This window comes from Homo sapiens, chromosome 9 (assembly GCF_000001405.40).
Source record: "Homo sapiens chromosome 9, GRCh38.p14 Primary Assembly".
NCBI classification, from domain to species: domain Eukaryota; kingdom Metazoa; phylum Chordata; class Mammalia; order Primates; family Hominidae; genus Homo; species Homo sapiens.
This window is the reverse complement of record NC_000009.12, coordinates 83,468,154-83,480,863: the sequence shown is the minus strand read 5'-3', so window position 1 is coordinate 83,480,863 and position 12,710 is coordinate 83,468,154. Positions and strand designations below refer to the sequence as shown.

The window sequence follows — 12,710 nt, the reverse complement described above, 5'->3', positions numbered from 1 at the left end:
GATGCTCAAGTCCCTTATATAAAATAGGTTGTATCTGCATATAACCTATGCACATTCTCCTGTATACTTTAAATCATCTCGTGGCTCATGCCTGTAATCCCAGCACTTTGTGAGGCCGAGGCAGGTGGATCACCTGAGGTTGGGAGCTTGAGACCAGCCTGACCAACATGGAGAAACCCTGTCTCTACTAAAAAGACAGAATTAGCTGGGTGTGGTGGCAGGTGCCTGTAATCCCAGCTACCTGGGAGTCTGAGGCAGGAGAATCACTTGAACCCGGGAGATGGAGGTTGTGGTGAGCTGAGATCACGCCATTGCACTCCAGCCTGGGCAACAAGAGCCAAACTCCATCTCAAAAAAAAAAAAAAAATCTCTAGTTTACTTATAAAACCTAATACAATGGAAATGCTATATAAATAGCTGTTACACTGTATTTTTTATTTATATATTTTTATTGTTATATTGTTATTTTTTGCTTTCCAGAATATCTTTGATTAGAGGTTGGTTGAATTCATGGATATGGAAACCAGGGATATGGAGGGCTGACTGTACAATATATTGTTACAATTCAGTCACAATGCTGCAGGTTGTTTTAGTTCATTTGTTTTGACTGCTGAATAATACTCTGTTATATGAATAGACTACAGTTTATTCATTTGCTGCCCTATTTATGGGCATCATGATTGTTTCTAGGATTTTACTGTATGAAAGTGATGCTATGAACATTTTTGTACATGTCTCCTATTGTATTTCAACAATAATTTCTTATGGCATATATCTAAGAATGGAATGGCATTGCTAGAGTGAAAATATTCTACTTTAGGAGATAATATCAAACCATTTCCTCAAAGGTTGCACTAATTTATATGCTTACCAGAAGCATGTAAAAGATCCTGTGGATCGACATCTCTCCAACACTTAGTATTGTGAGACTTTTGATATTTTTGCCTATTGAATCATTTAAAGTGATATCTCACTGTGGCCTTGACTTACATTTTCCTATTCACTACTGATTGCGATTAGCTTTTCATTTTCCCTTCCTTCCTTCCTTCCTTCCTTCCTTCCTTCCTTCCTTCCTTCCCTCCCTCCCTCCCTCCCTCCCTCCCTTCTTCTTCTCTTTTCTTTTTCTTTCTTTCCCTTTCTTTTCTTTCTTTCTTTCTTTCTTTCTTTCTTTCTTTCTTTCTTTCTTTCTTTCCTTCCTTCCTTCCTTCCTTCCTTCCTTCCTTCCTTCCTTCCTTCCTTTCTTCAGGGTCTTGCTATCCCTCAGGCTGGAGTACAGTGGCACAATCATAGCTATTTGCAGCCTCGAACCCCCAGGCTGAAAGATCCTCCTGCCTCAGCCTCCCAAGTTATCTGGGACTACAGGCATGTACCACCATGGATGGCTAACTTTTCCTTCCTTCCTTCCTCCCTCCCTCCCTCCCTTCCTTCCTTCTTTCCCTCCTTTCATCCTTCCCTCCCTCCCTCCTTTCTTCCTTTTTCTCCTCCTCCTCCTCTTCTTCTTCCTCCTCCTCCTCCTCCTTCTTCCTCTTCTTCCCCTTCTTCTCCTCCTTCTCCTTCTCCTTCTTCTTCTTCTTCTTTTAGAGACACAGTCTCACTTTGTTGCCCAGGCTGGTCTTAAACTCCTGGTTTCAAGAGATCCTCTCACCTCATTCTCCTAAAGTGCTCAGATTACAGGTGTGAGCCACTGCAACTGGCTAGCTTTTCTTTTTGCATTGGCCGTATTTGTTTCCTCTCCTGTGACATGCCTGTGTGTGCCTAGTTCCTAGTTTGGTACTGTGTTGTTTGTATTTTTCTTATTGATGTATAGTTTTTTATATAATTTTTAAATAATCTTAGTTTATTCATTCTTTTATTCAATTATTCATTTAATGACCATTGATTAAGCCATGTTCTAGGGACCCGTAGTGCATAGGTACAGTCTCTGTATTCCAGGGTTCACTTTCTAGTACAGACAAATAAATAATTACAACATAATATGCAGAAGCTCTGTCCAAGGAACTCTGGGAAACTGAGGGAGATGCCTTACTCTGCTTGAAGGCAATCCTGTTTAAAGCTGAATTATATTGCATTGTATGTGTATACCACATTTTGAAATTTATTTGCCAGTGGATATTTGTGTTGTTTCCACTTACTGGCTTTTCTGAATAATGTGGCTGTGAACACTCCTGTACACATATCTTTTCTAGTTCCACTGCTTAATTCTTTTGGGCATATACCCTGAAGTGGGATTGCTGGATCCTATGGTAATTCTGTGTTTAATTTTTTGAGGAAGTGCCATACTGTTTTCCACAGTGGCTGCACCATTTTACATTCCCATCAGCAATACACAATTTCTCCACACCCTTTCCAACACTTGTAGTTTTTGGCTGTTGTTGTTTTCATAATAGCTATCCTAATGGGGTGAAGTGGTATCTCATTATGGTTTTGATTTGCATTTTTCCAATTGATTAGTGATGTCGAGCATCATTTTATGTGTCTCAAGACTCTTGAAAATTATGGGTTTCTGGATAGAAGAGTATGCATATGTTCATTACATTTTGCATAACAACTAAGGGGAAGGCATCACAAACCCCTGAAGCCCATAGGAAAACAACTGAGTTAGGTTTAGAGCCCTTCTTATGGGAGGAACACTGTGGTTAGGTGGCTGTCTCCAAGCCATTGCTATAAAGAGAATGAACTGCATGGTTTTAACTTTTGTTAAGATGTGTGAGAAACTGACTGTTCTAAATTGAAATGCAAGTCTTTTGACACAGGAGCTTTTGTTCTTCATGATGTAGTTTTTGGGGTGAGAGACAAGAGACAGAAGGGAAGCCAGTCCTGGGAAAATGAGTAGGGCTCTAGTTCAATGGAAGTTTGTCTAAACAACAGAGAAGGGCAAATGTTTTGTATTTTAGGATGAACTCCTGTAAGGAGGTGAGAGTCTGCTGCCTTTTTTCAAACCAAGAGCTCAAGCCATACCGGGAAAGGACAAGTAATATGTGAATTCTTCTAAGGAAAGGTCCAAGCAAGGTCTAAGGCTTGGAATGTCTAAGCTGAGTGAGGAAAGTGTGGGTAGCCTGAAAACAGAGATGGGAAGCCCAGGCAACGGAGACTGGAGATTCAGTCAATTAGTCAATTAGTCAAGCAGCTAAGTGAGTCATGGAGGAGGTCTGGAAGCACTGGAGCAAGACAGAATACTCTTCCTCTCCAGGATCAATCAAATAATCCTAGGGGATGAGACAAAAAACCTTTTCTTCAGTAGTAATAGAACCTTGATTTGGGACGGCCTTGGTGATTGCAGGAGCTGGTTATCTGGGGAGGTGGTTCTCAACCTTGGGCGTACATTATAATTACCTGGGGAGCTTTGCAAATCCCAGTGGCCCAGACAGGCTGCAGACTCATTAAATCAGAATCTCTGTGGAGGGGAGGTGGGAACCAGGCATTAGTATTTTCTAAAGCTCTCCAGGTGACTCTGAAATGCAGCCAAAGTGAGAACCTCTGATTTAGGGGCAGACAGTCAGACAGTCATTATGCCATCCTGATTGGTTCTCAAATAATTCTGAATGTGGTTGAAACCAGGCTACTCAGTCGAATCATTTCTTGCATCTCTCTCCACTCATTCAGGGGAAGGCTTTCTTGGCCTAGTTGTCAAAAGTTCCTACACTGGGCCGGTGCTTTTCAAACTTTTATGTGCAGACGAAACATCTATGGGTTGTAATGTAGTAGGTCCAGCCTGATAATTGGCATTTCTCACAAGCACTCAGGTGATGCTGTTGCTGCTGCACCATACTGTGAGTAGCAGCATTCTAGACTCATAACCATTGAGTTGATTTTACTTATTGTTTTATTCATCAGATTATTGAAAGGTGCTTACTACCTGCAAGATACTGTGCTAGTTAGGTACTGGGGATGTGGTTATGGACACAAAAGAGACACCACCTGCCCTCAAGGATCATAAAATCTAGGAGAAAAGGCAATGAACCTATTATTTCACCAAAAAATTACCTAAATACAATTAGAGTAAGGGCCACAAAGGAAAAGTGTAGGCTGCTATGAAATCCTGTGATAAGGAGCCTTGATCTCGTTAGTAGGACATGATTACGACTCAAGGGATAAAGAAAGCCCCAGGAGACCCATGTTATGTTCTGATGCTCACTCTGGCTGTGGGAACCCATTGACTTCTTCCAGTTGCACTGGCTATATTTAGTTTATTGACCCTTCTTTCCTGCGGTACATTTTCCCATGGTGGCCTCAGCCATTCCTTGGCTTTATCTACCCGATCTCAACTTCTGCCTCTCCTCTGGGCTCTAGCTTTGGGTTTCTAATTATTGAGGCACATCTCCAACTAGTGGACATGCTAGCATCTAAAACCCAAACTATTCTGGGACAAACTCTTCACCTTCTTCACTAAACCAGCACTTCTTCAATATTTCTGACAGTGTCACCACCATTCTTTAAGCCAGTGAGGCAAAATTCAACATATCCTTTTTTTTTTTTTTTTGAGAGAGAGTCTTGCTCTGTCTCCTAGGCTGGAGTGTAATGGAGTGATCTTGGCTCACTGCAACCTCTGCTTCCCAGGTTCAAGCGATTCTCCTGCCTCAGCCTCCTGATTAGCTGGGATTACAGGTGTGCACCACCATGCTCGGCTAATTTTTGTATTTTTAGTAGGGACGGGGTTTTGCCATGTTGGCCAGGCTGGTCTCAAAATCCTGACCTCAGGTGACCCGCCTGCCTTGGCCTCCCAAAGTGCTGGGATTACAGGTGTGAGCCATGGTGCCTGGCCAACATATTCTTTTAACTATATACTTTACTATTGTCGGCCCAAGGATACAGCACTTATTTTTGATATGGGACCTGAAATAGATGTATATTGCATTTGCTTGATTCATAGGTGACTAAGTTGAATAAATAGCCCACTGTAGACACTCAGCAAATGTTATTTACGTAAGTGAGGCCTGGGGGGAGGAGGAAAGGGACCTAACACTCATTTTTTCCATGTATTCTTGCTAGATATTTTATGTATCTTCGCTCATTTATTCCTCCCAATAGCTTTCTAGAACTTTATTAAGTGAGGCTTGTAGAGTGTCCAGAGAGTGCGTGATAGCAGCATGTAAACGTAGTTTTTTTCAGTTTCAGAAAACATCATGTTCTTTTGCTAGGCTTCATACCTTGTACATGGTAAAGTGATCTCTAAACTCTTATTATTATAAATATGTTTTGAAAAATAAAAGCTCTTTCAAATATTAGCTATGAATTTTTTTCCTCAAATTTGGAAAATGTATTAATAAACTGTATCTGATGAAATGAAGCTTAGTTACTTTAAAACAACTGTGTCTAGCCTGCTTCATGTACTCAATACATATGAGTTCCCTTTCATAGATTCAAATACTCTGTTTTGGTTTTCTTTGTATTTTTCTGTCTTTTTCCTTTTCGTGTTTTACCCTGGGCATTTTCTATTGAACTATTATCTTCTAGATCACCAATTCTCTCTTCAGCTGGGTCTTTTTGCTGTAACCCATCTATAGCATTCTTAATTTCTTCTATTACATTGTATTTTTCAGTTCTAGAATTTCCATCTGACTCATATATATGAATATATATGTATTATATATATTCTAGTTCTTTGGTGAAATTGTCACCCATTTTCTTAAACATGTTAATTATTTTAAAGTCTATGCCTGATAATCCCAATATCTAGATCACCTGTGAATCTGTTTCTGTTGTCTGCTTTTTTTTCCTATTGGTTCTATCTCTTGGTATGCCCGGTAATTTTTAATTGAATGTTGGGCACTGTAAATAAAAAATGATGGAGGCTCTTGATGGTGTATTCTTCAACCGAGGAGTGTTCTTTTTGAGCTTCTGGTAGGCAGTTAAAATTTTTATAATCTCAACTCAATCTCCCTACCCAGGTGTAGCCTTTTAGGAGTCCCAAATGAAAGCCCAGATTAGATACCCAGGTCTGTCCACTTTGGTAGGCCCTGAACTCCAATTATTGTCTCTTCATCAGTGGGGACAGCTGTGCTTAGTTTATCATCCCTCTAGCAGCTGTTTTCTCCTTTGCTTCCCTTTCTGCTTGTGAAATTTACACATCAGTAAATACCTCAGTGGTGGTGGTGGGGAGAGAGTGTTGGGTGGCTTCTGTGTGTCCTTACTCTGGGAGTTTGGACTTTCAGGTTATGGTTGTCTTGGTAACACCTAGATGCCCTCAAAGAGATGTTAATGTTTAAATTTTATCCAGTTTTTAAAATATGCTTATCTATTATTGCTGGAATGAGACATGTATTCTCTGTTTTTTAGGCTTTAAAATTTAAGTAAGGAGACTTGCTTTTGATTCATCACAGTGCCCCAGAAACAGGTGTCATTTAAACGTGCAGGTGAGAGATCATTGTTTGCCTTGCAGTCTAGTCTGCTCCCTGCTCATCCCACAAGAACCTTTGATTTTTCATAACTTTTTGCTTTGCATTCTGAGGAAGAAACTTGACAATTAGTGAATTGAATATTATTGATGTTATCAGATGTAGAATGGTTGCTTTATTTAGCAGGGAACAGGGTTAAATAAATGATAGAGACAATAACTCAGGAGGCTCAGATCCCTATTTTCATCTTCCAGATAGTAAGAAAGAACAGTAATTCTTCCACAAAGGAAGTGAAGGCCATGATGATTTCTAGTGGCTTTGTCATGCTGATGTTTTTGCTATACTCTGTACTTTTGAGGGGTTGCAAATTTGAAGGATGCGGTAGTGATTTTTTGAAGTGTTTTTCATGTTACTTTTCTGCATTTATATATATGCATAGATAATGTGTATGTATATAAATGCACATACTGTACACAGCTCCTTGTTTTGTGTCCCCTTTTCTCAAAAAAGCATTGAATGCAAAAACATAAGTTCTCCTCAGTCACAACCTCTAAGAAAGGAAAGAAAATTTAGAGCCAGAAGTTGTTAACCTCAGCAGGAGTTTATGACTGTAAGATTTCATCACCTTACTGTCTTATCTGGTATAGTTACATCTGCCCCAATTTATTTATTTTCCTGCTTCCTTCTCTGCCAGTAATGAGCCTGGAACTTGAAGGAGGGCAAGGTACATTCCTTGTGGTATTTATGAGGGAGGAGACCCATGTCTTTGGAAAGTGGACGTTGGCATAAATGCTTTCCTTCATGGGGGGTGAATTTTCCTACTTAAGTTCACTAGCTAGCCCGTGCATTCGCCCTCTTCCTCCTCTCCATGTTATTCTTGTTGGCGAAAGTGTATGATGTACTTTCTGTTTCTAAGATAGAAAATATGATGTACTTTCTGTTTCTAAGATAGAAAGTGTATGATGTACTTTCTGTTTCTAAGATAGAAAGTGTATGATGTACTTTCTGTTTCTACGAAACTTGGAGTTTACTTGTGGGGAAAGTCAAAGACACATGAACATTGAAATATTAGTAGAAACAATTAAATAGCAACAGAAGTTAATAAAAGGCGAAGGGCTAAATGGAATGCACAGAACCTGCTGTGGAAGGTAGGTGAGGGGAGGACTGGACCGGAGTCATGTGGAATGATTCTGTGGACCTAAGTATTGGGAGTTCTTGTGGATTTAGAGTTGGCAAGAGTGGGTGGACAAACTTGGCAGGGAGACTGGTGTGCACAGAGGCAGGGGGTTGGGAAGAGGCAAGGTGGGCCAGGGGCTTGAGATGTCGGTGTAAGAGTCTAGGGGCTGGAGTCCTGTGGGAGAGAAAGCTCAAATGCCAGTAGCCAGGTTGAGTTTGGGTATTCCATATACAAAGGGGGAACATCTAAGTCTTTGAGGAATATAATAATGATTGATTTTGGAGGTTAAACTGGCAGGATGCAGAAAGCGTTGGAAGGGGAAATATTGTAAGCATGGAGCCTGGGAGGTTTCGCCACAATCCTGGTGAGTGTGGCAGGGTTGGTGGCTGTAGAAGGGAAATGAAGAGGCAGATTAGAGAATAGTTTTGAAAGAACACTCGTGACTTGACTGCCTATGAGGAAAGCCTACTGGCATTTTATGCAAGTATAAATTATGTGCATTTGAGGTAGTCCAGCATAAAACTATCGAAAAAGATATTTTATATGAGAAATTTAGAAATAACCCCAAATCCTTTCTTCTCATCGGTGGCAGAGTCAACTCTCATGGCACAGGTTTTCACACTTTGAAAAATTGATCCATTCACACAAAAAGTGATTCTTTCAGTAAGAAAATCTGACTTTTCTGTTGACAGTATGCTTTATAAAGGTAGAGATATGTTCTCATGAAATAAAAGTCACCGAATGGATATTGTGCTGGCCCCTAGTGAGGAGGAGCTGGGCTGGGCTGGTGTGGCGTTCCTTTGGGTGGTGTTCTACTTTCCTGGTAGCATTATCATTGTTTCTGGCTCCAGAATGTCTCCTCTGTCACCTAGGTAAACACCAGTCAGGAAATGTCAGATCCCATGGGGTGACTGGGTGAGCCACTCACTCCCATGTATTACTAACCTTTGTTCCTGATGAGCGTTTCCTGAACTCTTTGGGGGCATGTTTCACGTGTGTGTCATAACAGATGTTCCTTGAAGAATTATGCTTGAGAAATGCTGCAGGTTTTATTTCCCTCACCCTGATCTTCTCTGCAGCTCATAGCACACATCAGCTTATTTATGGCTCTTGGGCAAGTGAGCAAACTAGTTTGACGTTGTTGACTCCAGCTTTTCCTATACTTATTTGACCATGGACCACTATTTTTGCACTATGCTTACTAAAATCTGAGCGGTGAGTTCTGGGGAAAATAGGGCTGGGAATGGAGTTTTTCCCAGTGGCATCTCTGGTAGCACCCTAGTCCCTTCAATGAATGAGCAAATGAATGTTCACGAGGCCCTTGCTCTGTGTTGTCACTATACAAGGTGATTTGCTTGTATTCTCACATTCAAACCTCAACAAGCCTCTTAGGTGGATTTAAGGATACAAGGCTCACATGAGTTAGGACACTTGCCCAAAGTTACATAGTTAGGAAATGACAGGCCCAGAGCTGGAGTCCAGATCAACTCCAAGTCCAGTGTGGGACGCCATTGCTAGCTCCCTGGTGAGAATTTTGGGTTCAGTCAGTAAAACAGCAGCCATTTCATCACAGAGGTTTCATACTTCACCACTTAAACAAATACAAATGTTTCTGTTGGTAAAATAAACCTCCCAGGTCTTCTCAGAGACCATCTAGCCCATTGTGGTCAGAAAAGAAGCTTTGAACAAGGTGAATTTGCAATGATTGGTTTTTAGCCCTTTTCCAGGGAGAGGATGAGTCCCTGTTCTTCCTGATGCTCTCTCTTCCTTTGTGTGGAGCAGTACGGGCTTTCCTGGACCTGCTCATCCAGCCTTGCCTCCCTGCATTCAGTTTCCCAAGCCGGTGTCCCACCCACCCTCACTGACCTGCAACTGTGTCCTCATGCCCTTCCCTTGTGAATGATAGCTCAAAATGGTGAAAGAGGAACTCAGTCATCTGCTGAGCATTATTGTGTAACGCTAGATATTGATATGAGAAAATGGAGCAGAGCCGTGAAGATAGTTGCCTGTTTTTCCAGTTGCCTAATGGGTTGTTAGACTCCCTGATAGACCTAGGAATTTACAAGTTGCCCAGAATGTTTCAATTTCTTTTTCCTGCTTCATCTTTTCAGTATTTGTGCCAGTTTGACCAGCAGAGCAGAAGGCCAGAGCCGTTCTCTGTGCTGTCAAATCTGTTCTGAGTGTATCATCTTGAGGGAGTACGTGTTGGTCCATCTTTTATTCTCAATTTCCTCTCACCTGTCTAGAGGCAGAGGGATGTCACCTTCTCCCCCCTAAAACTGGAGTTTTATGAGACAGAGTTAGCTGTGAGCAGTTTTCCTCTAGTACTGAGGCAGGACCATTAAATTGTTCTCTACTGCTGTTTGCTTCTATGTTTTGTTAGTAACCATTAATTAGTTTTAAAGATTTAGAAACTAAAACAGATGGGGGAAAATGCTCCAGCTTGTGTAAGATCACATTCTTCAGTCACTTTTATTGCATGTGAAGAAAAAGGAGAATCACCCTAAAGTGAAATTCACAGGTTAACTCCAAGTCTTCTTTGAATAATCCAGCCTGCAAATATTCATTTATTATTCATCTGCAATGTGCAAGGCACCATGAAACATCTTTGACATCAAAAATCATTGTACCACATCCTACCAGATTAGCTTGTGTATTCTATTCATGAATCCAGACCTTCTGATCGGGACCCTTCTGGGACATCAAAGGTCAGCCTCAGGGTTAGGCACACATTGGTGTGCAGAGGATTGGAGAGCTATCACAAGGCAAGGGGATTTTTGAGGCTGACAATTCAAATCCAGTCTCTGGCAGCAGCATAGTCCCTTAAACAAATTAACAAATAAACGTTTACTAGGCCCCCTGCCCTGTGTGCCACTCTGCAAGCTGATTTACATGTGTTCTCTCTCAAATCTCAAAACAACCCTCTGAGAGAGATCTGAGGTAACTGAGGCTCAGATAAGTTAGGGAACTTGTCTAAGCTTATATAGAAAATGGCAGGGTGAGGACTGCAGCCCAGATCAACACTAAGTTCAGCGTGTAAGCCATCGCCCCCTCTCTAATGGGAAGTTTGGGTTCAGTTCAGTAAGTGCAGTGGGGTGAGGTCCAGAACCTTCTCTGGGCTTTTCTAAATGTGCTCCAGTGGAGAGGGAACTATAGATGGAACTTCAGAGCAGCTGGAATCTGGGGCTGTGGTGCTTAGGTGTTCCCTGAGTGGTAGAACCTCTCCTTATTTAAAAAAAATTCTTTTAAATTTGCTACATCAGTTTCTTCTGGAAAACTGGGAATGGTTATGAGTTCATAGCTCCTCTCAGCCAGATTTAATGGTTTCAACACACCGGATCAACTGTACTTTAAAAAGTACAAATGCCTGGGTCCTATCCCCAGAGCTCTTCAGCCTGGGAATCTCTACTTTTATACAGCTCTAGGGAATTCAAACGTGCGTAAGAGTTTGAGAACTAGTGGACCAGCAGCTGCTCCTGCGGGCTTTCTCCCCGCCCCCCATCTTAGTTTTCTGAGATCTCTCATTGGTGAGAAGACACTGGCTGCATGAGTTTTAATTATGTATGACCACGGAGCCTTTACCTGACAATAGCCGGTTTCTAATTCCCATCTGAGCTTTGAATTCAGGCATTTCCCTCTCCTCCAGTTTAATGTGTTTTTTTTTTCTCTTTGTCTCAAATAAAAAAGGACGTTGTTGCTCTTATTTAATTCCATGTTTTCCATGAGGTGGTTCATACATCCTTATCAATGACTTTGAAAAGGTGCAATTATTTGGTCTTAAGTTTCTCCTCCACAAGTGAGTGATAGCCTCATGAATAAGAGATGACTCCTTTTTCTCACCAGGCACTTCCCTGTTGCCCCTGTACTCTCTCATTTGACTTTGACATTTTGACAATTCGAATTCTCCCTGGCAGGTGTGAAATCATGAAGTTCCTTGACCTGTAGGTATACCATCTAATGATTGTCTACGAAGCATCTGACTTTCTTAGAAGTGGCTTTGTCAGGTTTTGAGTGGATCCCTACTGGATTGCTTTTGGCATAGTTGAGCTCTGTTAGAGTGACCTGAATAGCAGACCCTCAGCAGCGAACTGCTACTTACCACTCTGGGGATAAGATTTAATTTTTGTTTGCCTCTGTCTTTGATTTGGGTGGCTTTATTTGCTTGGCGATGGACTGTCTCCAGCCAGTGTAAGTCTTCATCCCTGCTCTCGTCTGTATCTTGCCTCATTTTAGTTTAACCTCATTTGAATGCTTTACTGTGTAGTTGGGCATTTGTAGAACATATTGGGGCAGCATGCCTGGATTAGCTTTCATGGTAGCTGCCTCCCAGCTCTGAGCATTCCAGTACTGATCCCTTTTATCTGACTGGAGTGTTTGGATACATTCATTTGGTCATGATACTGTCTGGGTTTCAAGGTGGAGCTGGAAGTCAAAGCCACGGCCATTATATGGCTAGCTGGCTGCTCTCATGGGCTTGGCCCCAAAGAGGAGCTTCCCTGCTCTTCTCCACCCTCCTCCCAGATCCCATGTTGCCAGGGCTGTCTAGTCCTCCCCTTCTCCAATAGCTGAGCAAAGGTCTATGGTGATAAATTGCTGTATTCTTCCTTTCTGTTAATTGCCATAAAGTTTCCACGGACACATTTACTAATCCTGCTATTGGGAAGGATGGGAGCAACTTACCAAGCCTCAAATATTCTGAGGAATCTGGGACAGTAGGGATTTACATAGCCAGTGACAGAGCTGAGAACTAAATCTAGCAGTACTTGACTTGTCTGGGCCATAAGCCTAATTAATTCCTTATTGTTAATAAAGAGAAGAAATGAACCGTTTAGGAACCTGAAGTTCTGTCCGACTCAATTGACCTCACTGTACTGCTCTTTGTGGTACTGCTCTCATGTGCTTCCAGAATCATTTGCTTCTGAAATCTGCCCACCTGAAATTCCTGGCTTGGTTACTTCTCTCCATATAGCAGGGATTCATTTAACATAATTTGAGAATGCAGCTTCAGGTGGTTGTTTTGGTTTTTGTGGGTGATATACCTAGAAAAGACATATAAATAGAATGACTTAAGTCACATCTATTTTCTTATACAGATAAAGTTTGTAAGAAAGGAATGGTTTCTGACCTTGAATCTATCTTTCAATTTCTTACAGAAATGATTTCAAATGAATATAAAACCTGTAATTTAATTTCTTATA

At 41.4% G+C, this 12,710-nt stretch overlaps 1 protein-coding gene across 6 annotated transcripts in view, besides 2 other annotated features; it reads left to right on the top strand.

Moving 5' to 3' along the window:
- FRMD3 (FERM domain containing 3) overlaps positions 1-12,710 on the top strand; it is a 342,803-nt gene that overhangs the window by 104,931 nt on the left and 225,162 nt on the right. Inside the window, exon 1 of one of the 6 annotated variants that reach the window (XM_024447488.2) lies at positions 2,374-7,483. The exons of the other annotated variants lie outside the window; for them this stretch is intronic. The gene's annotated coding sequence lies outside the window, so the exon portion shown is untranslated. Of the gene's footprint in view, positions 1-2,373; positions 7,484-12,710 lie in introns of those variants that run through there. 6 annotated transcript variants of the gene reach the window in all.
- Positions 7,132-7,221: an enhancer, noted in NCBI's record as "active region_28493". NCBI's record gives its function as "activates an Ori minimal core promoter by ATAC-STARR-seq in GM12878 lymphoblastoid cells {active_cell/tissue: GM12878}" and the evidence as "EXISTENCE:reporter gene assay evidence [ECO:0000049][PMID:35858748]".
- Positions 7,272-7,431: an enhancer, noted in NCBI's record as "active region_28492". NCBI's record gives its function as "activates an Ori minimal core promoter by ATAC-STARR-seq in GM12878 lymphoblastoid cells {active_cell/tissue: GM12878}" and the evidence as "EXISTENCE:reporter gene assay evidence [ECO:0000049][PMID:35858748]".